The sequence below is a fragment of the Homo sapiens genome, chromosome 3, assembly GCF_000001405.40.
Source record: "Homo sapiens chromosome 3, GRCh38.p14 Primary Assembly".
Lineage (NCBI taxonomy): Eukaryota > Metazoa > Chordata > Mammalia > Primates > Hominidae > Homo > Homo sapiens.
In genome coordinates this window covers 138,079,171-138,106,869 of record NC_000003.12, presented here as the reverse complement: position 1 = coordinate 138,106,869, position 27,699 = coordinate 138,079,171, and the positions used below count along the sequence as shown (strand labels likewise).

The window sequence follows — 27,699 nt, the reverse complement described above, 5'->3', positions numbered from 1 at the left end:
TTTTTTTTTTGGCCAACCTAGTCCTACCACTTTTTTTTGAGACGGAGTCTCGCTCTGTCACCCAGGCTGGAGTGCCGTGGCGCGATCTCGGCTCACTGCAAGCTCCGCCTCCCAGGTTCACACCATTCTCCTGCCTCAGCCTCCCGAGTAGCTGGGACTACAGGTGCACGCCACCACGCCCGGCTAATTTTTCTATTTTTAGTAGAGACGGGGTTTCACCATGTTGGCCAGGATGGTCTCAATCTCTTGACCTCGTGATCCACCCACCTTGGCCTCCCAGAGTGCTGGGATTACAGGCGTGAGCCACTGCGCCCAGCCTAGTCCTACGATTTTTTAAAGGCCTTCTTCCTTCTGAAGCTGATGACTTCTTTGACTTTCTATTGCACTTTTTAAAGTGCACTTTCTATTGCACTTTTTAAAGTCTGAATCATGGGCCGGGTGCAGTGGCTCATACCTGTAACCCCAGCTCTTTGGGAGGCTGAGGCGGGTGGATCACGAGGTCAGGAGTTTGAGACCAGTGTGGCCAACATAGTGAAACCCTGTCTCTACTAAAAATACAAAAAATTAGCCAGGTGTGGTGGAGTGTGCCTGTAATCCCGGCTACTCTGGAGGCTGAGGCAGGAGAATTGCATGAACCCGGGAGGTGGAGGTTGCAGTAAGCCGAGATCGCGCCATTGTATTTCAGCCTGGGCGACAGTGCGAGACACTGTCTCAAAAAAAAAAAAAAAAAAAAAAAAAAAAAGAAAGAAGACTGAATCATGTAATCTCGAAAGACTTGATTAAATAGGGTAAAGTGTACCTCTTGTTGCCTTAGTCAGATTCTCACTTCTGCAAGAACTGAAATTCTATGTTTTATTTTAAAAAATAATAAAAGTGATAGAAGATGATGATAAGAAGTTTGAATAGTACAGAGAGGTAGAAAGTGAAAAATAAAAGTCCTGTAATCTCTATTTTCACTTCCCAGAGGCAGCCATTGCTAATAGCTTCTTGTCTATCTTTCCAGAAACAGTCTATGCTTATGAAATAATATACATAAGTGAATCATACATATGAATTATAAATGAGCATATTTTATTCATTATAAAACTAATTATAACAAATATGAGTCTTTCATATGTATGTGTGTGTATGGGTGTATATATATGTTGACTCTCCATATCTGTGGATCTGCATCCACAGATTCAACAAACTGCGGATCAAAAATATTTGAAAAAAAAAGGATAGTTTCTTCTGTACTGAACATGTACAGAGTTTTTTTCTTGTCATTATTCCTAAATAATTAAGTATAACAGCTATTTTTATAGCATTTACATTGTATTAGGTATTATAAATAATCTAGAGATGATTTAGAGTGTGTGCGAGAATGTGTATAGGTTATATGCAAATACTACACCATTTTGTATAAGCAATTTGAGCATCTGTAGATTTTGGTATCTGAGGAGGGTCCTGGAACCAATCCCTCATGGACACTGACAGACGACTGAATATGTATATATATATATATTTATATAAAATGATCATCATTGGTCTGTGAAGGCCTATTTACCTGTCTATCTGACCATCACCACCCACACACCATCCATCCATTTATTTATCCCCATTCCACACTCCCATTTCCCTCCCTCCTCTCATAGACAACCATTCTAATATGATATATATCTTTCACTTTGGTGAGTTATTAAATATGATTATATTAATATGTCATTAAAACAGAAATAGAGGTATATATGCCTATTTTGTGTGTGTTTACATATATATATATTGGAGATTATCATTTCATATCAGTACATGTAAGTCTGCTTTATACCAATCAATAGCTGCATAATATTCCATTGCATAGAGATACATTGTACTTTGCTTTCTTCTACTTTTTCTTTTACTTTGCTTTTATAAAAGATGCTACAATGACAATTTTTTCACAAGTACCTTTGTACATATGAGTTTGTAGCATAATTATAATTTTTAGTAGTGGAATGTTCAAAATTCCCATTGATATTGTCAAATTACTTTTCAGAGAGAACAGTTCATATGCTCACCAAGAGTTTAGAGAGTAGAATCTGAGTCTTGGCAAAGAAACTAGAGATCTTTTTACTTAACTATTAAGTTAAAAAAAAGCCCATGATGGATTGAGCACCATGTGGCAGAGACTCCGTAACTCTCTTAAGCCCCTCCTGACAGGGGTGGACATCATTTCACTCACATTCCAGGAGAGAGAACTTAGTCATATGATCACACGTTATTGCTGGAGAAGCTGGGAAAGGTAGTTCACTCGTGTTCCATTAGAATCCTGTAGTTATATGAGAAAGAGAAGACAGGGTGGACATTAGGAACCTTGGTCACTCACAGCAAGTTGTCGGACTTTATCTTGAGATAAAAATAGGGTTGCAGAAGGACCCATTTGTAAATTTGATAGTCACCTGCTGACAAAGGCCTTTGCCAGGCATTCCTGCAGTGGAGGTGGGCTTTGCAGAGGGGGCTCACTGAGGACCTGCTATGTGCCAGGCACTAGGCTGGGTGCTTCACTTGCCTCATTCCTCACCACAGGCCTGCACAGTGGGACCCATGTTCCTCCTTAGACACAGGAGGCTTAAAGATGTGCAGGGACTTGCCCAAGGCAGAGCATTCGAATCCACATCTGTGTGATTGCAAAGCCCATGTTTTCTTTCCACAGCTCTGGCCATGTCAGCACACACCATGAATGCTACAGCTGCTGCACAGACACCTCACTTTGCCCCGCTTAGGCCCTTGCTGGCCAGATATACAGTAGGTGCAGCCACACACACCTCACCTAACTTGGACTCTCTTCTTATTTTCCAGGCCTTCTCTCAGCTCCTTGGCCTACTGCCGTGGCCTTGGTGCCCCCCTCCTCTGGTGGTCAGCTCAGGGCTTCCTCTGCCCATGCAGTCCCCAGCTGCCACTGCTGAGGGCCTCAGTGGCCCCCTCTTTGGGGCCTACACGTTCCCCACCTTCAAGTTTCAGCCTCGCCATGATAGCATGGACTGGAGACGCATTAGCACCCTGGATGTAGACCGCGTGGCCCGGGAACTGGATGTGGCCACTCTGCAGGAGAATATTGCTGGCATCACCTTCTGCAACTTGGACCGGGAGGTGTGCAGCCGCTGTGGGCAGCCTGTGGACCCGGCACTGCTCAAGGTGCTGCGCCTGGCGCAGCTCATCATTGAGTACCTGCTGCACTGCCAGGATTGCCTGAGTGCCAGTGTTGCCCAGCTGGAGGCACGGCTGCAGACCAGCCTGGGCCAGCAGCAGCGTGGTCAGCAGGAGCTGGGACGCCAGGCTGACGAGCTCAAGGGTGTGCGGGAGGAGAGCCGCCGGCGTCGCAAGATGATCAGCACCCTGCAGCAGCTGCTAATGCAGACAGGCACCCACAGCTACCACACGGTGAGGAATCTCCACCAGGCAGGGAGAGTGGGAGGGCTGTGTGCCCCAGCCACTGGGGCAACTGTTGCCACTGGGCAGCACTGCTGGGACCTTAAGGCTGCTGGGGGGCTGTTCTCACTGGTTAGGAGCAGATTTCAGAGATGCTGCTCATGGCCAGAGAGCCTGGGGGTGTCTCATTAGGTTCTACAGTGTGTGTGTGTGTGTATGTGTGTGTAGATTGTACATGTGTGGGAGGTGTGCGTGTTTATGGAGAGGGTACATGTCTAGTGTATGTATATGCATGAATGTATGGCGAGTGTGTGTGTTTGTAAATGATGTGAACATGTGTGTGTGTTTAATGTGTGTGTGTGTGTGTGAATACTTGAAGGGTACCTCTGTGTGTATGTAGGGTGTGTGGTGTGTAATGTGTGCTTGTACTATGTTATAAAGGATACAACTCTGGAGCATGTATAAAAAGGTGTATTAATAGTGTTAGTGACCAAGAAGCAGCTTCTCTGCTCCTTCTGGAATCTCCGCCTGGTTCAGCCCACCTGCCTCCACTCCTGCTTCCACCATGTTCATCAGGGTGACCCAGAAGTCCTACAAGGTGCCCACCTCTGGCCCCCAGGTCTTCAGCAGCTGCTTCTACATGAGTGGGCCCAGTGCTGGCATCAGCTCCTTGAGCTTCTCCTGAGTGGGCAGCAGCAGCTTCCGGGGTGACCTGGGCGGAGGCTATGGTGGGGCCAGTGGCATGGGAGGCATCACTGCCATCACTGTCAACCAGAGCCTGCTGAGCCCCCTTAACCTGGAGGTGGACCCCAACATTCAGGCCATGTGCACCCAGGAGAAGGAGCAGATCAAGACCCTCAACAACAAGTTTGCCTCCTTCATAGACAAGGTATGGTTCCTGGAGCAGCAGAACAAGATGCTGGAGACCAACTGGAGCCTCCTGCAGCAGCAGAAGACGGCTCAGAGTTAACATGGACAACATGTTCAGAGCTACATCAACAACCTTAGGCAGCAGCTGGAGACTCTGGGCCAGGAGAAGCTGAAGCTGAAGGCAGAGCTTGGCAACATGCAGGGGCTGGGTGGAGGACTTCGAGAACAAGTATGAGGATGAGATCAATAAGCATACAAAGATGGAGAATAAATTTGCCTTCATCGAGAAAGATGTGGATGAAGCTTACATGAATAAGGTAGAGCTGGAGTCTCGCCTGGAAGGGCTGACTGACGAGATCAACTTCCTCAGGCAGCTGTATGAAGAGGAGATCCGGGAGCTGCAGTCCCAGATCTCGGACACGCCTGTGGTGCTGTCCATGGACAACAGTCACTCCCTGGACATGGACAGCATCATCGCTGAGGTCAAGGCACAGTACAAGGAGATCGCCAACTGCAGCTGGGCTGAGGCTGAGAGCATGTACCAGATCAAGTATGAGGAGCTGCAGATGCTGGCTGGGAAGCATGGAGATGACCTGCAGCATACAAAGACTGAGATCTCTGAGATGAACCAGAACATCAGCCGGCTCCAGGCTGAGATTGAGGGCCTCAAAGGCCAGAGGGCATCGCAGATGCCGAGCAACGTGGGGAGCTGGCCATTAAGGATGCCAACGCCAAGCTGTCCGAGCTGGAGGGCGCCCTGCAGCGGGCCAAGCAGGACATGGAGCGGCAGCTGCGTGAGTATCAGGAGCTGATGAATGTCAAGCTGGCCCTGGACATCAAGATCGCCACCTATAGGAAGCTGCTGGAGGGCAAGGAAAGCCGGCTGGAGTCTGAGATGCAGAACACAAGTATCCATACAAAGACCACCAGCGGCTATGCAGGTGGTCTGAGCTCGGCCTATGGGGGCCTCACAAGCCCTGGCCTCAGCTACGGCCTGGGCTCCAGCTTTGGCTCTGGCGCAGGCTCCAGCTCCTTCAGCCGCACCAGCTCCACCAGGGCCACTGTGGTTGTGAAGAAGATAGAGACTTGCGATGGGAAGCTGGTGTCCGAGTCCTCTGACGTCCTGCCCAAGTGAACAGCTGTGGCAGCCCCTCCCAGCCTGCCCCTCCTGCGGCTGCCCCAGAGCCCAGCGGGGGAGGCTGCTGTGCAGGGTAGCACAGGGAACGGGAGACCCACCTGAGGCTCAGCCCTAGCCCTCAACCCACCTGCGGGGGAGTTTACTGCCTAGGGACCCCCCTTGCCCATGCCTCCAGCTACAAAACAATTCAATTGCTTTTTTTTTTTGGTCCAAAATAAAACCTCAGCTATCTCTGCCAAAAAAAAAAAATAGTGTTTGTGTGTGTGTGAATGAATGAAGGGTATATATGTGTGTAAGAGTGTGTGTTTGTACTTATGGAGAGTGTATGTAAGGATGAGTATGTAGAAGAAGGATGTATATGTGTCTAAGGGTGTATTTATAGAGGGTGTGAGTGCGTGCATATTTATATATGATGGAGGATTTGTATGTGTATGTAGAGGAGTGTGTTGTGTAAAGGTGTGTGTGAGGGGTTTGTGTGTGCATGTGTTGAATCTACGTGTGACAAGGGATTGGTGGAGCCAGGCCTATTCTGGAATACTGACTCCATTATTCAACCAAGTGACAGTTCATTTCCCAAAGCAACATGGAGCGTTTGCATGTGTCTCCATGGAAGTATGGATTAGGGACATTTGCCCTTTAATAAAAATTGTCATGGTGGCTAGGCCCTGTGCCAGGCTCTGAGGATGTGGGCACAAATCATGCTGGTTCAGGTTTTTAAGACATTCATAGTTTACGGATGGATGGGTTACCTATTTCTGCTTATAACACTTCTGACACCAAATGTGTGTTTTTCTTCCTCACACCAACCAATTCTCCAATGCCACCTGGGTGCCCTTCAATTCAATTCTGACACTATCTACCTGGAGTTAGCATCAGATCCCATGAGTTAAGGGATCAGTCCCACAAGACTGGCCCCACTTCAGATACCTGGGCCTCCTGTACTTCTGACTAACTGGCTACAAATTGAGGGTTCCCATAACTCCATCTTGAGGTTCAATAATTTGCTAGAATGGCTCACAGAACTCAGGAAGAAGACACTTTATTACTAGTTTATTATAAGGATAGAAGTCAGAACAGTCAAATGGAAGAGATGCACTTGAGGACAAGAGAGGACAAGGTATGGGAGAAGGGACTCGGAACTTCCCTGCCCTTTCTGAGTGTGACATCTCCTAGCACCTTAGTGTTTACCAATCTGGAAATTCTCTAAATCCCATCATTTAGGGGTTTTATAAGATTCCACCAAGCATGCATAATTGATTAAATCATTGGCCATTGCTTAGTAGTCCAGCCCCTCTTCCCTCCCTGGAGGCTGGAGGGTGGGGCTGAAAGTTCCAACCCTCTACCCATGCCTTGGTCTTTCTGGTGACCAACCCCCATCCTGGGGGGATTACCTGAGCCCGGCATCTTAATCGTAATGAGAGCTGATGAGCCAAAAAAAAAAAAAGGATGGGGGTTGGTCACCAGAAAGTCATTTGCGGGGTGGGGCAGAAGGTGCCCAGCCAACAGTCCTTTCATTAGCATACAAAAAACACTGTCTTAGTAAGTTTAGTGTTGCAATAAAGGAATACCGAAGCTGGATAATTTATAAAGAAAAGAGGTTATTTGACTCACAGTTCTGCTGGCTGGAAGGTTCAAGACTGGGCACCTGATGAGGGCCTCTGGCTGCTTTCACTCCTGGTGGAAGGTGAAGGGGAGCTGGCCTGTCCAGAGCTCATTGCAAGAGAGGAAGTAAGGGGAGAGGAATGCCAGGCTCTTTCTAACAACCAGCTCTGTCAAACTAATAAGAATGAGAACTCCCTCACCCCCAAGGGAGGGCATTAATCTATATATGAGGGATCTGCCCCATGACCCAGATACCTCCCACTGGGCCCCACCTCTCAACACTGCCACACTGGAGATTAAATTTCAACATGAGATTTGGAAGGGACAAACATTCAAACAATAGTAGACACTCTTATTACTCTGGAGATTCCAAGGATCTCAGAATCTCTAAGACCAAATATTATTACAAAAGGTGCTTTACTGCCCTTATCACTCTGAAGATTGTAAGTTAGGTGTGTCCAATCTTTTGGCTTCCTTGGGCCACATTGGAAGAAGAAGAATTGTTTTGGGCCACACATAAAATACACTAACATTAATGATAGCTGATGAGCTAAAAAAAAAAATTCCTAAAAAAATCTCATAATGTAAGTTTACAAATTTGTGTTGGACTGCATTCAGAGCTGTTCTGGGCCACATGTGGCCTATTGGCTGCAGGTTGAACCAGCTTGTTGTAAGTGTTTTAGGACCTCCTTGCCAGAAACTAGGAAGGAACAAAGACCAAATATACATTCTTTTTTATTTTTTGAGACAGGGTCTCACTCTGTCATCCAGGCTGCAGTCTGATCATGGCTCACCACAGCCTTAACCTCCCAGGCTCAGGTGATCCTCCCACCTCAGCCTCCTGAGTAGTTAGGACTACAGTCACCTACCACCATGTTTGTCTAATTTTTTTAGAGACAGGGTTTCTCCAGGTTGCCCGGGCTGGTCTCGAACTCCTGGGCTCAAGTGATCCGCCCACCTCAGCCTCCCAAAGTTCTAGGATTTTAAGTGTGAGCCACTGTGCCCAGCCTACATTCTTATTGTATCACAATATCACAGTGGGACAGAAGGAATCGTTATGATATATTATTAATTGATAACAAATTGATATAATTGATATGATGTTTATGATTAAAAGGGTCAGAACCCTTTTAGTAGTAAGTCCTGTGGACACACCTGGTTGCTAGGAAGGTTGGGACATAGAGTGTTTATTCTCATTGGCCACAGACTTACTATTACCAAGGAAGAAAGGGAAAATGGGTATTGGGGGACAACTGGCAATTCCTGTCACAATTGTCTGCAAAGATAGCAAATAATCTGCCTATGGATTAACTAACAATGGCAGCCTCCAAAGCTGTGTTGAGAAGAATTCTGAAATTTTACAGTGAGAAGACGATGTGATAGATTGCTTATGTCTAAAATGTCTTAGGAGAGGGATGTGGAATTACAGATGCTGTTTATTTGCTAACCTCTCTGCCTCTGGTGTTTCTCCACCCTGGGATGGGACCTAGACATTGGCATATTTTAAAAACTTTTTATTATGGAAAATTTCAAACATGTACAATAGTAGAGAGAATAATATAATGAACCTTTATCTACACACTAACAGTATCAACCCATGGGCAGTGTTGTTGCATCTCTTCCCCTGCCCACTTTCCCTCACTTCTGGATTATTTTGAAGCATATTAGTATTATGATTTTATTTGTAGTATTTCAATGTCTCTATTTGTATCTCTAAAAGAGAAAGACTCTGACTTTTAAACATAGACAAACACCATCATCACACTCTGAAAAAGCAACAGAAATTCCTTAGTATCATCAAATATCCAGTGTTGACAGTTTCCCGGGACACTGGTAGTATTTTAAAGCTCCGGTGATCCTAGTGGGCAGCATGGGCTGACATCATTGCCTTGCTCAGTAAATTAAATTCTTTATTTCTGAAGCAGCCCAGGGGTCCCAAGGGGATGGGGGCTTTGATATAGGGAAAATCCCAGGCTGACTCAGGTGACCTAATCTTGTACTCCCCATTGCTTCCTCTCTGTATAGTGCCACCTGTGTGACAAGACATTCATGAATGCCACCTTTCTCCGGGGCCACATCCAGCGCAGGCATGCAGGCGTGGCAGAAGGTGGTGAGTCCAGACAGCAGCCCGGGCCCCTTCTGGGACTGTGGAAAGGGCTGGGGCTGGTATTCAGTGGGTGGTGACCACCTATAGCACCCAAAACTGCTCTCAGAACCTCACTGTCCAATTGGGGATGGGATGATCCCACCATCCACCACCGGGGGAGCCCACATGGGTTGGAAGGGTTTCTGACCCCACGTGTAAAGAAGGGCTGGGAGTCAGACAGGTAGATTTCACTCTTAGCTCTGTCGCTATTTATTATGTAACCCCGGTCCATGCTTTCCCCTTTGTGTCTCAGTGGCCTTCACTGTGAATGGGGCAGTCAGATGGAGTGACTTTGAAGGGCTCTTACCTTCCAGCCTTCTGCGAATCTGCAGTTCCCTGATGCCAGCCACGAATAAGCCTAAATGGGGTGAATGGGCAGTCAGACCAGTTCTTTGACTTTTCTACATACTTGAGCTTATCATGATCTAATCACTTTAATTTTACAATTTCAGATTCCAAAATGAGGAGCAAGGCTGTATGTTTTCCCCATAAAGAGATTTGCATATTTTACATTCACTTTTCTTTTCTTTTCTTTTTTTTTTTTTGAGACAGGGTCTCACTCTGTCACCCAGGGTGGAGTGCAGTGGCTTGATCTCGGCTCCATTGCAGCCTCCACCTCCTGGGCTCAAGCAATCCCCGTACCTCAGCCTCCTGAGTAGCTGGGACTGCAGGCACGCACCACCATACCTGGCTAATTTTAAAAATTTTTCATAGAGATGAGGTCTCACTGTGTTGGCCAGTCTGGTCTCAAATTCCTGGGCTCAAGTGATCTGCCTGCTTTGGTCTCCCAAAGTGCTGAGATTACAGGCATGAGCCACTGCACCCAACCTATATTCACTTTTTGAGGTTCAACAAGAAATATTTGTTAAAACACAAAATATAGATGTAAAAATGCCATTAAGTAAAACTTTTCCTCCTATTTTCCATCATTCAAATTCTCTTTTCATAAAAAAAAAGTACCACTTACCTAAAACTATGTATTTAGTGTATATCTAATTCTTTTTAGTTCTGCATTGGAGGCTAAGGAAAAATAAATTTTCCATGCCTTAAATTTTTTTTGAATAAAAATATGTCTCTGGTATAGAAAATTTAAATATAGGAAAGTAGAAAAGAGAAAATAAAAACCATGGATGGTATCACCAGCAGTTAATATTTTGGTGTATTCTCTGTCATTGTTTTTCCGTAGACATATATAATCATATAATGTGCGCTTTGACTATTGCTTATTTTCATTTAAGAATATGTCTTATTTTCCAATGTCATTAAATTATCTTTGAAAATGTGATTTTTTAATGGCTGAATAGTATTTCATTAAGTGGCTATCATAATTTATTTCACAATTTCCTCCTGTTGAATATATGGCTTACCCCAACATTTATTTATTATAAATCACATGATGATTGATATTCTTGCATGTAGATCTTTGAGCATATCTCTTATTTCCTTAACGTAAAGTGCTGTAAGGAGAGAGAAATGTGTTCTTAAGATCACTTTTGCTATATTAATGGTCATGGCCTCTTTATTCACAGGCAGCTGACTTCCCAGATGCCCAGCTCTCCTATTCCACAGTCGCCTCAAATCATGTTATTAAACCAAATTAATTTCTACTGCAACTAAAAATTGTTTGTTTGTAAAATGTCCAACCTGAGAAACGCCACATCTCTTTTCAAGGAAAAGGCTTAGAATTTTAATAACAGTATGATTTATCTAGTAATCACTAAATATGCTTTAAAAAGTAACAAATGTTCAAGAATAATTGTATTCTTTTTTGACCCTTAACTCTTGCTTTATCGTCAGTATGTGGTTTAGTTAGGATGTTTTTTATAATTCATTCTGAATCTTTTTGTTCACTTAAACAATTTAAATTATACACTTAAAGGAGCTTTGGTTCTTTATAATACATGCTGCTTTTTTTTTCCATTTGAAATTTATTTATTTATTTATTGAGACAGAGTCTCGCTCTGTCTCCCAGGCTGGAGTGCAGTCGTGCGATCTCGGCTCACTGCAACCTCCGCCTCCTGGGTTCAAGCGATTCTTTTGCCTCAGCCTCCTGAGTAGCTGGGATTATAGGCACCCGCCACCACACCCGGCTAATTTTTTTTGTATTTTTAGTAGAGACGGGGTTTCACCATGTTGGTCAGGTTGGTCTCGAACTCCTGACCTAGTGATCAGCCTGCCTTGGCCTCCCAAAGTGCTGGGATTACAGGCATGAGCCACTGCGCCCGGCCTGAAATTTACAACTATACACTTACATTATTGAAAAAAGTGAACTTAAAACTACAGATTTTTATTACTTTAAAATTCTCTCTGATTACTGTCAGGATACATGGATATGTTCTTTGTATTGATAATTGGTGTACATGCTATTTGATATTCTGTTCTGTTACTATAGTAATTTTAAATTTCTATTTCCACGTGTCAGTACTGTCAAAATACTTATTTTAAGTGACAGTACAATAGTAATTCACATTTTTTGAGCTGTCGTGCCAGACACTATGCTAAGCACTTTGCATTCTCACATTTCATCCTCACAGCAGCCCTCTGAGTTAGGTGCTATTGTTATCTCTATTTTCCAGTTTGGGGAAACAGAGGGACAGGGAGGTTATGTTCTTTGCCCAATGTCAACGTACTAAGTAGCGAAGCTGGTTTGAGACCGAGGTATGGCTGATTGACAAGGTGAGAAACTACACTCCCTTGATTTTTGGACTTAAACTGGTCACCTGTCTTTGCGTGGACCCCACAGGAAAACAGAAGAAACAGGAACAGCCAGTGGAAGAGGTGTTAGAAGAGCTACGGGCCAAGCTAAAGTGGACCCAAGGGGAGCTGGAAGCCCAGAGGGAGGCGGAGAGGCAGCGGCAGCTCCAGGTGGGCAGGGAGAGAAAACATCAGGGAGACTTGGGTCATGGACTACCCAGGAGACCCTTGATGCACATGAATCCCACAGGGCAAAAATTCCAGCTAGTTTCCCAGAGCTGGGAGTCAGAGCTGGGATAGTGCCTTCTTGGACATGGCAAATGATTTTAGGTAGCCTGGAAAGGAAAATTGAATTGTTTTTGCCAGACTTATGTGGACGAAAGTAGAGCAGAGAGATGCAGTTTCCTGCATTAGTCAGCACCCTCTGAGGGCATTTGAACCTGAATTTTAGCTTCGTACACAATGCTGTTAGTTAACTTTTTGTGGACAAAGACTGGGTTTGATTCTGAAAGCTCCAGAACCCAGCCCAGAGACAATGCTCAGTATATGTTTGTAGAATGAAAATACATGAAGTTGCCCTGCTCATCCCTTCATTATTCATCCCCTCAGCATGCATTTATTGAGCACCAGCTGCATAGTTGGTATTGTGACAAATACAGGCATACTTCTTTTTTTGTGTGTTTTGTGTGCTTCACAGACATTGTATTGTTTGCACATTGAAGGTTTGTGTCAACCCTGTGTTGAGCAAGTTTATCAGCATCATTTTCCAACAGTATGTGCTCACTTCATGTCTATGTATCACATTTTGGTAATTCTCACAATATTTCAAACTTTTTCATTATTATTATATCTGTTATGGTGATCTGTGATCAATGATCTTTGATGTTACTATTGTAATTGTTTTGGGGTGCCACAAACTATTCATATAAGATGGCAAACTTAAACATCTCTCACTTTAAATCAAAAGGTAGAAATGATTAAGTTTAGTGATGAAGGCATGTCGAAAGCTGAGATGGGCTGAGAGGCAGGCCTCTTGTGCCAAACAGCCAAGTTATGAATACAAAGGAAATTTGAAGGAAATTCAAAGCACTACTCCACTGACCACACAAATGATAAGAAAGTGAAACAGCCTTATTACTGAGATGGAGAAAGTTTTAGTGGTCTGGATAGAAGATCAAACCGGCCACAAAATTCCCTTAAGCCAAAGCCTAATCCAAAGCAAGGACCTAACTCTCTTCACTTCTATGAAGGCTGAGAGAAGTGAAGAAGCTGCAGAAGAACAGTTGAAAGCTAAAAGAGATTGGTTCATAGGTTTAAGGAAAGAAGCCATCTCCATAACAATGAAAGTGCAATGTGAAGCAGCAAGTGCTAATGTAGAAGCTGCAGCAAGTTATCTTGGAGATCTAGCTAAGATAATTGATGAAGGTGACTGTACTAAACAGATTTTCAGTGTAGAAAAAACAACCTTCTATAGGAATAAGCCATCTAGAACTTTTATAGCCTGGCTTCACACTTTCAAAGAACAGGATGATTCTCTTTTTAGGGTCTAATACAGCTGGTGGCTTTAAGTTGAAGCCAATGCTCATTTGCCACTGTGAAAATTCTAGGGCCCTTAAGAATTATGCTAGCTCTACTCTACCTGTGCTCTAAAAATGGAACAAGAAAGTCCGGATGACAGCACAGCTATGGTTTACTGAATATTTTAAGCCCACTGTTGAGATCTACTGCTAAAAAAAAGATTCTTTTCAAAATAATTACTGCTCATTGACAATGTTCCTGGTCACCTAAAAGCTCTGGTGGAGATGTACAAGGAGATTTGTGTTGTTTTCAAGCCTGTTAACACAATATCCATTCTGCAGCCCATGTATCAAGGAGTAATTTTGACTTCCAAGTTTTATTATTTAAGAAATACATTTTGTAAGGTTATAGCTGTCATAGATAGTGATTCCTCTGATGGATCTGAGCAAAGTAAATTGAAAACCTTTTGGAAAGGATTTGCCATTCTGGATGCCATTAAGAAAATGTGTGATTCTTTGGAGGAGGTCAAAATATTAACATTAACAGGAGTTTGGATGAAATTGATTCTAGCCATCGTGGATGACTTTGAGGGATTCAAGACTTCAGTGGAGGAAGCCACTGCAGATGTGGTGGAAATAGCAAGAGAACTAGACTTAGAAGTGGAGCCTGAAGATGGGACTGAATTGCTGCAACCTCATGATAAAACTAATGGTTCAGTAGTTGCTTCTTATGGATGAGCAAATAAAGTAGTTTCTTGAGAAGGAATCTACTACTTCTGAAGATGCTTAGAAGTAGCAGACTTAGTAGGCTTAGACTGGTCCTCCCAAGTCCAAACAATGGGAACTGTGGGATGAATGCTCTTTGGGTCTCCATAGTGACTTGCATAGACAAGGAGGCCTAAGTAGGTTCTTAGTAAATATTTGCTGTAATGTGGAATTAATCATCATATTGTTCTTGCTCTTCTTTTTAGGAAGCAGAGCTCATTCATCAGAGGGAAATAGAAGCTAAGAAAGAATTTGATAAATGGAAAGAGCAAGAGTGGACCAAACTTTATGGGGAAATAGATAAACTAAAAAAATTATTTTGGGATGAATTTAAAAATGTCGCCAAGCAGAACTCTACACTAGAAGAGGTACCCAACATAAAAGGCTTTTTAAAGTTTCTTTGTTGGAAATCTGCTTATTCTCAAAATTTCTTAGTTTGTACTGGTTTTATTTCATCTGCTGTTGGAAGCTAAAACACTGTGAGGCCAGTTATCAGAGGCCTGATATTAGAGGCCCAGATTTCAGACGCCTTGGGGTTGAATCACTGCTGTGTCAACATTCTGGCTGTGAGACCTTGAATGAGTTAACCTCCTCATGCCTCAGTTTTATTTCTGTAAGATAGGCTACTGAGAGGGTTAAATTAGTACATATACAGTATGTAACATTATCCAGCATGTAGTAATGTATCAGTAGTGTATCTGGTATATAGTAATATCTCCAGGTATTATTCTTATTTTTGCGAAGGGCTTTCATCACTGGACAAGAAATGGGGCAAAATTTAATTGAATGCATTTTTCTCCCAACAAATATTCCCTGAATACTGGTTACATGCCAGACATTCTGTTGGGGTCTTCAGAGGTCACACATTTATGACTGTATTTACTATTTTCCAGCCCCCATGCAGTATACTTTATATATACTAACTTTTAATCTTCATAGCAATCAACCATAACATTCTCAGAATAGGTGCATCACTGGTTTAGTACTTTCTTTTTAAAGTTTTTTTTTAAAAAAGCTATTTTATTTCTTTCTCTCTCTCTTTCTCTCTCCCTCTCCTTCCTTCCTTCCTCCCTCCCTCTCTCCCTCCCTTCCTTCCTTCCTCCCTCCCTCCCTCCCCCCACCTTCCTTTCTTGCTCTCACTGTCTCGCTGTGTCGCCCAGGCTGGAGTGCAGTGGCGTGGTGTCGGCTCACCGCAACTTCCGTCTCCTGGGTTCAAGTGATTCTCGTGCCTCAGCCTCCGGAGTAACTGGGATTACAGGCGTGTGCCACCGTTCCTGGCTAATTTTTGTATTTTTCATAGAGACGGGGTTTCACCATGTTGATCAGGCTTGTCTTGAACTTCTGACCTCAAGTGATCCACCCACCTCAGCCTCCCAAAGTGCTGGGATTTACAGGCATGAGCCACTGCGCCCGGCCGTCATTCTTTCTTTATAGGTAAAGAAATTGAGGCCATATAACTTGCCCAAGGTCACTTAGCTAAGAAGAGATGGAGCTGGGACTTGAACCCAGCTCTATAATTTCCAAAGGTCCTATTCTTCTACTGGATATACTAACAAGTTTATGCAGGATAACCTTATTAAAGTTATCCCTGGGCTGGGCGCAGTGGCTCACACCTGTAATCCCAGCACTTTGGGAGGCCAAGGTGGGTGGTTCAGCATGACCAACATGGCGAAACCCTGTCTGTACTGAAAATACAAAAATTAGCTGGGTGTGGTGGCAGGTGCCTATAATCCCAGCTGCTTGGGAGGCTGAGGTAGGAGAATCACTTGAACCCAGGAGGTGGAGGTTGCAGTGAACTGAGATCACGCCACTGCACCCCTGCCTGGGTGACAGAGTGAGACTCCTTCTCAAAAAAAAAAAAAAAGTTATCCCTTGACCATATCTTCCCATATAAACCTGCATGACTAAAACTGTATCAAGGAAAAATATTTTTTAAATGTATTTATCTCTCATTGGTCCTCCTAGATCAAGGAGAATCTTGTTTTTGAAAATGAACTGTCTAATAGCGTTTTTCACAGTCATTCCACGTTTTACCTAAAGAAGCACCTAGGCAAATTTTTTTTCAAAAGGAAATTGTCATATGCCTGGAGTCTTGGGTGCTCCATCATCCCTGTCTGAGATGGAAAGCCAAAGGTGGAAGGTGGAGGGGTTGAAACGAGAACTCTGTGTGCACTGGGGTGGGGATGGGGGCTCCCTAAAATGACGCAAGCGCTTCCATCCAAAATGCTTCCCAGCTGGGCCAGGGATGATTGTGGAAGAGAAGATGCTGCTCCACTATTGACCTCATGCTCCTAATATACAGCTCCACACCCATCCTTCCCAAGCACATGCAAACATCTCCTGACCCCCACACTTCCCCGACGCAGTGCTAGCTGACTAGACGTTTGATAAATAGGTATTGACAGGAATTTGAAGTTGTTGTTCAGAAACCACCTCTTCAAGGGTCAAAGGGTTACTTTTGGTCAGAAAATTATGAGTTTTGGTGAATGAGGACATAATCCTTACCATCCATGATATCCTTTTTAACTTGGATCATGTTCTCCTAAACTGGAACATGCTATCTTTTTTTTAATTTTTAATTTTATTTATTTATTTATTTATTTATTTTTTTAAGATGGGTTCTCACCCTGTTGCCCAGGCTCGAGTGCAGTGGCACAATCACGGTTCACTGCAGCCTTGACCTCCCAGGCTCAAGTGATCCTCCTTCAGCCTCCTGAGTAGCTGTGACTATAGGCATGTGCCACCACACCCAGCTAATTTTTGTATTTTTTGTAGAGATGGGGTTTCGCCATGTTACCCAGGCTGGCCTCCTGGGCTCAAGTGATCTGTCCACCCCAGCCTCCCAATGTGCTGGGATTACAGGCTTGAGTCACTGCGCTTGGCCCATCTTACTCTTTTTTAAAAACCTTTCCCCTATAGGATTACTTATATTGTGTTTGTATGTTTGTGTGTCTCACCCTGTCTCCTTTCAATATTTTATTGTTTTACTTTTATTAAAGTATAGGAATCAAACTGGATACCAAATTCTCAGTGCAGTTGGGTAGTCATTTTGTTAATGTATTTTTAAAAAATTTTAAGGGTAAAAACCAGCAAGATTCCATTTAGAATGATTGTAAAAAAAACACTGTAAGATGTCCATTTTCAAAATGCAAAAAATGATTCTTCCTGATGTTAGGAAGGCCAATGAAAACTATATGTATATTGAAAATATTTTTTCCTCAAAACTTTTTCCCTGATACAGAAGTCTGAGAGCTTACTTTGGCTACATTACCTGACTAAAGAGAGAACTTTAGATTAGACCTGGGGTAAATTGAGATGCCAAGGGAGTGTCTAGCTAAATGGAAATACCACGAAGGTTTGTAATGCCAAGAAAGTCAGCTCTGTGGTGTGTCATAAGCAGCATATGGAAACCAGGAGTGACACATTAGAACCCGGGAGTTGTGCATACATCTGATCAAGCATTTGACTCTGAAAATATTCAGGGAGTTTAGAAATTGTTAACCTTTGGAACCAGTATTGTTTAGCAATAGTTGAGAAGTGTTAGCAAGAATGATATCAAGTTAAACTTAGGCACTTGGAGTTACATCCTTAAAGCCTTAATAGGGCTTATGAGTTTTATACAGTCATACAGATAGAAATATGTTGCTTTTGTTACTACGACAGTCATATATTATAAGAAATAATCAAAGGTGGGTGGAAAGGCATCCTCTCTTTGATCCAATTTTCTGTACCTTTTTCTTCAGGTCACACACACTGCTAGCCCAGGAATCACTAGGTATTGATGACTCTACTTCAAGCTGTGCAAAGCCCTTTCTGGAGACAGCCAGGATGTTTTGTAGGGAGAGAGGCAGGAGTCCTCAGGGAGTGGCCTGGGGTGAGACCCTCCCATAGGCTCTAAGAGTCTCATTCTCATCAGTGTATTCCAGACTGAGGAAGAAATGGGGCAGCAGTCAGGAGAGCTCGGGATTTTGAGTATAGCAGAATTTAAGTGAAATGGAAACTACACTCTTTAATTTGTTCTTCCATGGAATTGCTTTTTCTATGCAAGGGCTGAGCCCCCAGGAGAGCCCTTGTGAAGGGAATGCTGATTTGTGTGAATATCTGTAGGTGAGTAGGTATCTAGTGAGGATGAGTTGGGAGGATGAGTTGGGTAAGGCGTGCCCCTCTGACACTGTTCTGGGTATAAAAGACAACATCATGATGAGATCTTCATCTGAATAAAACTATGCCCTGGCCTTTTCAGAAACTGCGGGCACTGCAGTCCCACAGTGTGATGGAGTCCAAGCTGGGATCACTGCGAGATGAGGAGTCAGAGGAGTGGCTTCGGCAGGCACGGGAGCTTCAGGCCCTGAGAGAGAAGACAGAAATTCAGGTGAGCTGATGCTCCATGCCTTTCTTCCCAGAGGAAGCCAAGAGCCATCTTCTCTTCCAATATATTCTCTCATTTATGAATGTAGAGAAGTTGAAGGACATCAAAGTTCTATATTTTCAGACCTTCTGCCAGTACATGAAAGCATAGAATAGGGTTCTCAGGTGAGGCTGGTGGTATGTGTGCAATGTCAGATTTGCCTAAGATCTTTTAAAAAATACATACAACTCTGTCTCTTATTTGGCACCTTTGCCCCATTCTGATTCTAACCCAGTTGGAAGCAACTCTTAGAAACTGTGACAGTCTCTTGGGTTTGAAGATATTTGGGATGCATCCATTGTTGTGATGGTAGTTGTTTAGCAACCAGCTCTCTGGAATTAAAAAAGCTTTAATTTGTAGCATTTGCCAATTTCCGTGGTGTAAATACTCCCAGCATGGCCGATTTCCTGCTATCAATGTGAGGTCACTGAATGGAGCCAGGAAGACTTGTGCACAGTCTGCTCTCACCAGCTGGTAGAAGGTGGCTCTGGCCACCCCTGGATGAATTTTACTGCAGTCTGGTTATAAAATGGTCTGTATCACTGATAATTCCATGGCAAAGAAGGGTAGTTGGTACAGGTGTTAAATCATGTTGTGCTTATCTTTCTGCTGTCCAAGATTCTTGAGAAAAAATGTAAAGTCTAGCTAACAATCAGCAGTAAGGTGTTTCTGCCGATTGATGTTTGACAGGTTTCACATTATAAAGAGGCCATTCTTTTCCTGAGAACTCTGTTCACATTCTTTGCCTGCTTTTCTATTATTGATGTTTCCCCTATCAATTTGTGAGTTTGTATAATGTATGGAAATTAACTCAGCCCTTTGTTGTTCTAGTTGTGGTTATTTTCCCCAGTATTCTGTTGGTCCTTCAATTTTGTGTATTATGGTTTGGCCATATAACAAAGAATTAATGTTTATGTAGTCAAAATTATCCAATTATTCGTATTTTCTTTATGGGCTTCCCCACTCTGAGATTTAAAAAGACAACATTCCTGTGTTTTCTTTTAGTACTTTTTGGCCTTATTTTTTGTGTTAAATCTTTGACCCACCTACAATTTATTTTGCTTTAAGATGTGTAATAAGGATCCAGCTTCCTATTTTTTTTCAGGTAGCTAGCCATTTGTTCCAACACCATTAGTCAATAATCCATCTCCCTCTCCTCATACTTAGTTTCTATGTATTTCCATCTTTGTCTGGATTTTCTATTCTATTCCACTACTCTGTCTGCCTACCCATGAGCCAGTACTTTTAACTTCCTGTAGCTTTATAACATGTTTTAATACCTGCAAGGGCCCATTTGATAAGCTTTTAATCTTTTTCAGAAAACGGAGTGGAAAAGAAAAGTGAAGGAACTGCATGAAGAGCACATGGCTGAGAAGAAAGAGGTAGCTTTTGTTGGGTGATCTCGGGGAGCTTGGTTTCCTGTGACCTCCTCTCAGAATTCAGCATTCTCCACGCCCCCTCACCCACCATCTCCCCTATCTCACCTGGAACTGGTTGGCAGATGCTGCAGATATTGCTCCTGGCTACTGTCCCCATCAGTACACAGAAGGGGTGAGCTGTCCAGCCAGCAGCTTCCCTGTCCAGGAGCAGGGGCCTCCAGGCCTTCTCCTCTGAATCGAACACATCCTTTGTTCTGTGGTCTTCTTTGCAGTGACCCCTTTAGGCCCTCCAGGGAGGGTTGTTCGATAAACCTCAGATGAATCGCCTGGTCGTTTCACGTTTGGGCTCTTCTTTGAAATTCCCCCACCCTAGGAGAGAACCAGGCGGCTGTGGGCCTCAGTGATAGTTCAGCAGGAGTCCAAAGGGAAGGACTTAGATACTGAGAACAGTGAACAGGGAGCAACAGGCCTCAGGGCAGAGCAAACAGCTTCTGTAAAAATGTCCTGAGCAGGAGGCAAGTTGAGGAGGAAGCTGGTTCATAAGAGCCCCAGGTTCCGCCTGCAAAAAGCTCAGAAGATGAAAAGGCTTAGATCAGTCTGGTCCATGGTAGAGCTCCTCACTCTGGTGTAGGGAAGCATGATCACTCACATGTGATGGTTTTATTTTATCTGAAGCATTTTCTTTTTTTTTTTTTTAATTATTATTATTATACTTTAAGTTTTAGGGTACATGTGCACAATGTGCAGGTTAGTTACATATGTATACATGTGCCATGCTGGTGTGCTGCACCCATTAACTTGTCATTTAGCATTAGGTATATCTCCTAATGCTATCCCTCCCCACTCCCCCCACCCCACAACAGTCCCCAGAGTGTGATGTTCCCCTTCCTGGGTCCATGTGTTCTCATTGTTCAATTCCCAACTATGAGTGAGAACATGCGGTGTTTGGTTTTTTGTTCTTGTGATAGTTTACTGAGAATGATGATTTCCAATTTCATCCATGTCCCTACAAAGGACATGAACTCATCCTTTTTTATGGCTGCATAGTATTCCATGGTGTATATGTGCCACATTTTCTTAATCCAGTCTATCATTGATGGACATTTGGGTTGGTTCCAAGTCTTTGCTATTGTGAATAGTGCCACAATAAACATACGTGTGCGTGTGTCTTTATAGCAGCATGATTTATAGTCCTTTGGGTATATACCCAGTAATGGGATGGCTGGGTCAAATGGTATTTCTAGTTCTAGATCCCTGAGGAATCGCCACACTGACTTTCACAATGGTTGAACTAGTTTACATTCCCACCAGCAGTGTAAAAGTGTTCCTATTTCTCCACATCCTCTCCAGCACCTGTTGTTTCCTGACTTTTTAATGATCGCCATTCTAACTGGTGTGAGATGGTATCTCATTGTGGTTTTGATTTGCATTTCTCTGATGGCCAGTGATGCTGAGCATTTTTTCATGTGTCTGTTGGTTGCATAAATGTCTTCTTTTGAGAAGTGTCTGTTCATATCCTTTGCCCACTTTTTGATGGGGTTGTTTGTTTTTTTCTTGTAAATTTGTTTGAGTTCATTGTAGATTCCAGATATTAGCCCTTTGTCAGATGAGTAGGTTGCAAAAATTTTCTCCCATTTTGTAGGTTGCCTGTTCACTCTGATGGTAGTTTCTTTTGCTATGCAGAAGCTCTTGAGTTTAATTAGATCCCATTTGTCAATTTTGGCTTTTGTTGCCATTGCTTTTGGTGTTTTAGACATGAAGTCCTTGCCCATGCCTATGTCCTGAATGGTAATGTCTAGGTTTTCTTCTAGGGTTTTTATGGTTTTAGGTCTAACGTTTAAGACTTTAATCCATCTTGAATTAATTTTTGTATAAGGTGTAAGGAAGTGGAGGCATCACGCTACCTGACTTCAAACTATACTACAAGGCTACAGTAACCAAAACAGCATGGTACTGGTACTGGTACCAAAACAGAGATATAGATCAATGGAACAGAACAGAGCCCTCAGAAATAATGCCGCATATCTGCAACTATCTGATCTTTGACAAACCTGAGAAAAACAAGCAATGGGGAAAGGATTTCCTATTTAATAAACGGTGCTGGGAAAACTGGCTAGCCATATGTAGAAAGCTGAAACTGAAGCATTTTCAAATGGGAAATACATTCACATTCACATTCACATTTCCTGTTCCAAAAACAGGAGAAATATATTAAGATACACTGAGTAGAGTCTCACTCCCACCTGTCCCCATCTACCTGTCTCCAACACCTACTGCTCAGGTGACTTTTATGGCTTTCTTTTGTATTCTTCTAAAGTTTCTTTATGCAAATATTAATAAATATTTTCACTTTATTTCTGCTATTACATCAGAAGTAGCATGTTAACTTGTTTTCTTCACCTCTTGTTTTCACCTAAAAACATCCATTTGATGATTTTCAAATGGTTTTAATTTATCTGACTGTTCTTCAATGGGTGGCTACACCTTTCTCTCCTGGTCTTAAAGGCATGCATTCCATTCTTACTTCTTCTCAGGCACAGCACAAAAATGTCCCCAGACTGGAAGGTTGTCTTGTTAGAAAGCCTGTCCAGGTCTCAAAATCCTTTACTGTGCTTGCCTGGCACTTGCCTACAGGTGCTGAGCCTGCAGACACCAGGCACTAAGATGTCCCTGCAGACATTTGACTGACCAGCCATCTTGTGCCTGCCAGCTACAGGAGGAGAACCAGAGGCTCCAGGCCTCCCTGTCTCAGGATCAGAAGAAGGCAGCTGCCCAGTCCCAGTGCCAGATCAGCACCCTCCGTGCCCAGCTGCAGGAACAAGCTAGGATCATTGCCTCCCAGGAGGAGATGGTAGGTCTGCCCTTCCTTTCAGCCAGGCCTTGGTGTCCCTGGGCCTCTTTCCTGTGAGGATCTCCTTGGATTCTTTTGGGCTCATCAGTGCTAGTCTTACCACTCAGGCTCCTTAAGGAGAGAGAAGAGTCCTCTGGCATGAAGGGCACAAAATGATAAGGCTGTAGCTGCCTCCTTCCAGGCTGAAGATGTGCCATCTCCTTAGGGGCTGCTGGCAGATGGGGCCACTCTAACAGCAGAGACCATATAAAACGCTCAGCACCTCACTGATACTTTGCTTATTACCTCATTTAAGCCTCACTACTATCCTTCAAGGTAGGCATCCCCCTTCTCCCCATCTTCATTCGACAGATGGTGAAATAAGCTGGAGAAGGGAAGTGCCTCACTCAAGTCCTCACGGGGCACTCGGTAAGTGATGAGATTCAACTCTGGCCAGGCAGGAAGAACGCAAAGCGTGTGTTTTTTACACAGTATTCTTAGGCAGAATTCCTTAACCAGTACCTTTTTCACAAATGAACAGCCTCTGATGAGGTGAGAGATAAAGCAGTGTGATGAAAAGGCACTTAGTTAGCACCTTTCTCCTAAAGCTGGCCCCTGTGACTCTTTACCTGTTGCTGACAATTCTCTGCCCAGTCGAGGCTGAGTTCCCCCTCCAGAGCCCCAGGTCTGTGGAAAATCTGTATCTTCCTCTGCTGCCACCCACCTCATGGACCAGGCTCCACACAGCTTCCCTGGGCTGAGCACCCACTGTTACTGTCTAGTCCTGGCCTCTTGTTCCTGCACCCCTTGCTATTTGTGCTTTCCCACACACCCAGCCACATTTCACCCAGGTGACATAACTACCCCACTGTCTTGCTACTTTTCAGTTTCCCCCCAAAACACTCAGCTCTGCACTAAGCTCTAGTCTGGAGGTTTCCTAAGGAGGAAACCACAGCAGAGTTTCCACAGTGTTCCCTGCTGGCTGTAATGTCCTGTATGTTACTCAGAACTCTTATTTGCAAATGATTCAGTTAGGAACCTATTGGCTAAAGATAACAGAATAGTCTATTAGGGGCTATTATTTTTATTTTCACAGCAAGAGAGGTGACAGTTGCTGGGCTTGGTTAGCAGAAGTAGTATGCCATTGTGAATCCAGACTGTGTTTTTCTTTTTACCATCTTCAGTGTGATGACTTTTGTTTACCGCTTCACTTTCATGTTGCAAGCAGACTACTGTAGCCCCAACCATACAACCATATTTGGCAGAAGAAGTTGATGAAAAGGTCCCTTCCCAAGACTTGTGCTTATCTATATTATTGGTCAAAGCTGTGTCACATGGGAAACTACAGCTGCAAAAAAGGCTGGGAAAGTAAACAACTAGTTTTGCAGTTTGGAGTAGAGGTAGGCAAAGGAGACAGCAGTGGGGAATGGATACTGGATGAGTCATATGTCAGCATGTGCCACTGCAGGTAATAAAAAGCAACCGAAGCTTAAGTAGAAGAGGGAGTTTGTCATAAGGGTAGATGGAGCATCTCACAGAGCTCACGGCAGGGAGCAGCTGAGTCTGGGAGTAAACTGAAACCAGAGACATGAATGTGGTCATCAGTTTTCCTTTTCTGTGTGTCTCTGTTCCTTTCTCTATAACTGCTTTATTTTTTCCTTTTACCCTGAAGATCAGCTTCTGCTGCTTATCTGTTTTATGTGGTAAAACAAATATACGAACCAAGAAAAACCACAAACAATTGGCTGCCAGCAGCTTTGACATCATTCATTACCAGTCCAGAGCTCTTTGCCTTAACTTGGGTGTTGGGTCCGGCTGTGGTGTGAAGTCTCATTGTTCACCTGTGGCTGTCCTGCCTGCAGCCATGAAGGGGGAAGGAACAGGAACTTCTTGGAGCAGGGGGGTTGAGCAGACAGTTCAGTGAATGTCTACATCTGGCCTCCTGTCCGGGAATGTGTCTGACTCCTTCCTCCCAGGGAGTGCTCTGCTCAGACGCCCGCATTGTGGGAGGGAGCCTCTCCCTTGCCCTGGCTGTTTTCCATGAATTATACCAATAGGAACAACTGTGTGCCTGTCCCACTCTGTTTCTATGGGGCTCCTGCCCTCGAGGCATAATTCTTCTTTGAAGAGGGGACATTCTTGCCTCCCCACCTTGGAAAATGGAGCATGCTGCCATTCCCTTTCACACACGGACCCCAGAGATGTGTCAGGGGGCTGGGGTGGTGCATCTGAGCTCCTTCCAGTTCCCAACGTGAGTCATGGAATCTGTAGCCATCCCTTCCTCACTGTGCTAGGCAGACACTGCTCAAAGCAGAGTTCTCACAATGTTCTCTGCTGGTTGTAACCCGCTCTATTCCACCTCTTTGCAGATCCAGTCCTTGTCTCTCAGGAAGGTGGAAGGTAAGTGTCTACACAGGGCAGTGTGTAGCAGTCTTGACTATTGTCTCTGGCTTTTCTCCCTCCTTTTCCCTCTCCCCCAGTCAATTCATGGGTGGTGGATTGGTGACAGCAGCCTGTGGACATGTAGTGTCAGGCTTCTGGGCCACACAGGCTGCAGCTCTGTTTGTGCTGAAGGCTTCCCATGCAGCTGGCAGGGCTTCTTGCCTGGCTTGCTCCTGTCTGTAAAGGGATGGAGGCAGTGGGGAGGAGGGTGGTTATGGGTGGAGTGGGGGCTCATGAGAAGGCTTTTCTAATTCACCATGCCTGCAGCGAATGAGTAAAATCAGGATTCAGGGTTGCCAGCAACTTTTACCTTGTTCCCAATGTTCAGCAAGTTGACCCCAACCCCATGTGAATGTGTCCTGTTTGGCATATACAGTCTCCTCCTCTTGGGTACTCTGGTGTGGGGATGCGTGTGTCTGTGTGTAATGGGGTGCAGGTGCTGGCATCTAAAGGTAGACGGCAACCCACAGGGGACTGCTCCTGTTTAGAGGACCTTGGACAGCCCCTTGTGAAGCTTGGCCCTTCATCCTCCACCCCCAGCTCCCCTGTCCTATGGCTTTAGCTACACTTCTGCCTTTTCTTGCAAACTCACATTTCTTCCTATCCCTTGCCTTCTGCCCATCCCCTTCCCAGCCGTGTAGCCAGTTCAGACAGGCCCGACCCCTGTGGCCCTGAACTTCTTGAGGGATGGAGACCCTCTTGAGGGATGGAGCTAGAGCAGAGCCATTGATAATAGACATGTGCCACACCCTTCCCCAGCCACTTCAGATGCATCATCTCATTACATGGCTCACTATTGAATTATCCTCGTTTTCTAGATGGGGAAACCCAGGCTTAGAGGGGTTCAAGGACTTGCCATCTCTTTCACAGATAGCGAGGGGCAGAGCTAGTGTGTGGACTCTGATCTTTCTGCCGCCAGTGTCTGCTCTGTCCTGCCTCTCTCCAGTCAAGATGCACTGACTGGAGGGTTTTCTCTTTCTGGCTCATACTCAGCTGGGGTTCTGTACTTTTCTTCTAGTCAGGGATGGGGTCCAGAGCACTGGTGCCACTAACTGTTCCTCCTCTCTTCAGGGATCCACAAGGTGCCAAAGGCTGTGGACACAGAGGAGGACTCTCCAGAGGAAGGTGGGACCTTACTTTCTTTCCTGGGTGTCCAGTGCAGAAACAGATTTGCTGCCCTCCTCCTTGTTTAGTTTGTCTCTACTTAACTGTATCTGGACATCCGAAGCTGGAGTGGAGGGATCTAAGGACATGAAATAATATTTCTTAACACCTTCTGTGTGCCAGGCATGTGACATGCAGGTACTAACATACAATCTGCTGGTTTAGTGATGGGGAAGCCCAGGCCTAGAGAGGGTCATTAGCTTGTCCAGAGTCACAAAGCTAGCAGGTAACTGAGTGAGGATTTGGAGGGACGTCTGATTCACAGCCTGCCCTACTGACTCTCACCTGCGACTATGCAGAACAGTGGAAGATAACTCGCCTAGTTGACTTAAAATGGCCTTTGCTGTTTTTTTCTACATTGTGAGTGTGCTGCAGATAGGTCCCACAGGGCCTGACTAATGCATAGGAATCCACCTCGGCTCCCTTGTCAGAGCATTGGGCACCTGCTGTTTTTATTCACCCTATCCAGTGATTGACTCTGATTCGCAGACCTCTCAACCAGATGTAGCCAAGGGATGCAAAAGAAAAGTGAAGAAAAGAGAGATGCTCCCTGACTGCAAGAAGATCTTAGGGATAGTCAGGGAGAGGAAGCTCCCAGGACAGATGAGTGAGTGCTGACTGGAAAAGCTACTGACCAGGTCCCGTTTGTTTGAGCAAGGCAATGATATGACAATTTCAGAGTTCCCCAATGGACACACCCAGACAAGTTTTAATTGTGCCATCAAAGAGCTCATCATGGGGTATTTTATTTTTTAATGTAATGTTTTTCTTTATTTTTGAGATGGTAATCTATGCACTTTGGAAAAAAAAAGGAATGGTATAAAAGGGTATGCAGTGAGAAGCAGGCCTCCCTTCTGCCCAGCTATCCAGTTTCCTCTCCAGAAGTTTCACTGTTAATGGTTTCTCATTTATCGTTCCATGCTACATGGGAATATGTGCAAATATAAGCACATGTGTGTACCCATTCTTCTCCCTTTTCCCAAATGGGAACACACTGTACACATTGTTCTGCAGTTAGTTATATTGTTAACAACTTACTTAGGAAATGGTTTCATATCCCTTTAAAGAGAACTGCTTCATTATTTTTTCAGGGCTTTGCAGTCTTCCCTTAGATGGATGAACTAAAATTTATTTAACCAGTTAGTCCTCTACTGCCTCCGCCTACCCTCCCAGTGCATTTAACCTTGGGATACAGTTGTAAAAATTAGAATTGCGTATCACTTTTGAGGAAGGTATCTGTTGAGTAACTCAGATAGGATGAATCACATCTTCAAACAGTGGATGCAGGGTTCTAGAGAGGAGGAGCCTGAGACTGATGAGTCAGGGGATCCTGTGGCCATGCCCCTGCTGTTACAGT

At 44.2% G+C, this 27,699-nt stretch overlaps 1 protein-coding gene and 1 pseudogene across 17 annotated transcripts in view; both read left to right on the top strand.

Annotated features, from left to right (window-relative positions):
* DZIP1L (DAZ interacting zinc finger protein 1 like) overlaps positions 1-27,699 on the top strand; it is a 53,619-nt gene that overhangs the window by 8,739 nt on the left and 17,181 nt on the right. For 11 of the 17 annotated variants that reach the window (XR_007095645.1, NM_173543.3, XM_005247198.4 and 8 more), the window contains 9 exons: positions 2,818-3,399; positions 9,023-9,107; positions 11,887-12,008; positions 14,326-14,487; positions 18,363-18,491; positions 19,847-19,909; positions 22,617-22,757; positions 25,106-25,136; positions 26,250-26,303. Coding sequence is in view for 15 of the 17 variants with exons in the window: in XM_005247198.4 (XP_005247255.1) it covers positions 2,818-3,399; positions 9,023-9,107; positions 11,887-12,008; positions 14,326-14,487; positions 18,363-18,491; positions 19,847-19,909; positions 22,617-22,757; positions 25,106-25,136; positions 26,250-26,303 (1,369 nt within the window). In the remaining 2 variants the exon portion in view is untranslated. The other 6 variants (XM_047447642.1, XM_011512524.3, XM_047447646.1 and 3 more) reach the window with 4 other exon arrangements.
* KRT8P36 (keratin 8 pseudogene 36) lies at positions 3,877-5,634 on the top strand (annotated as a pseudogene).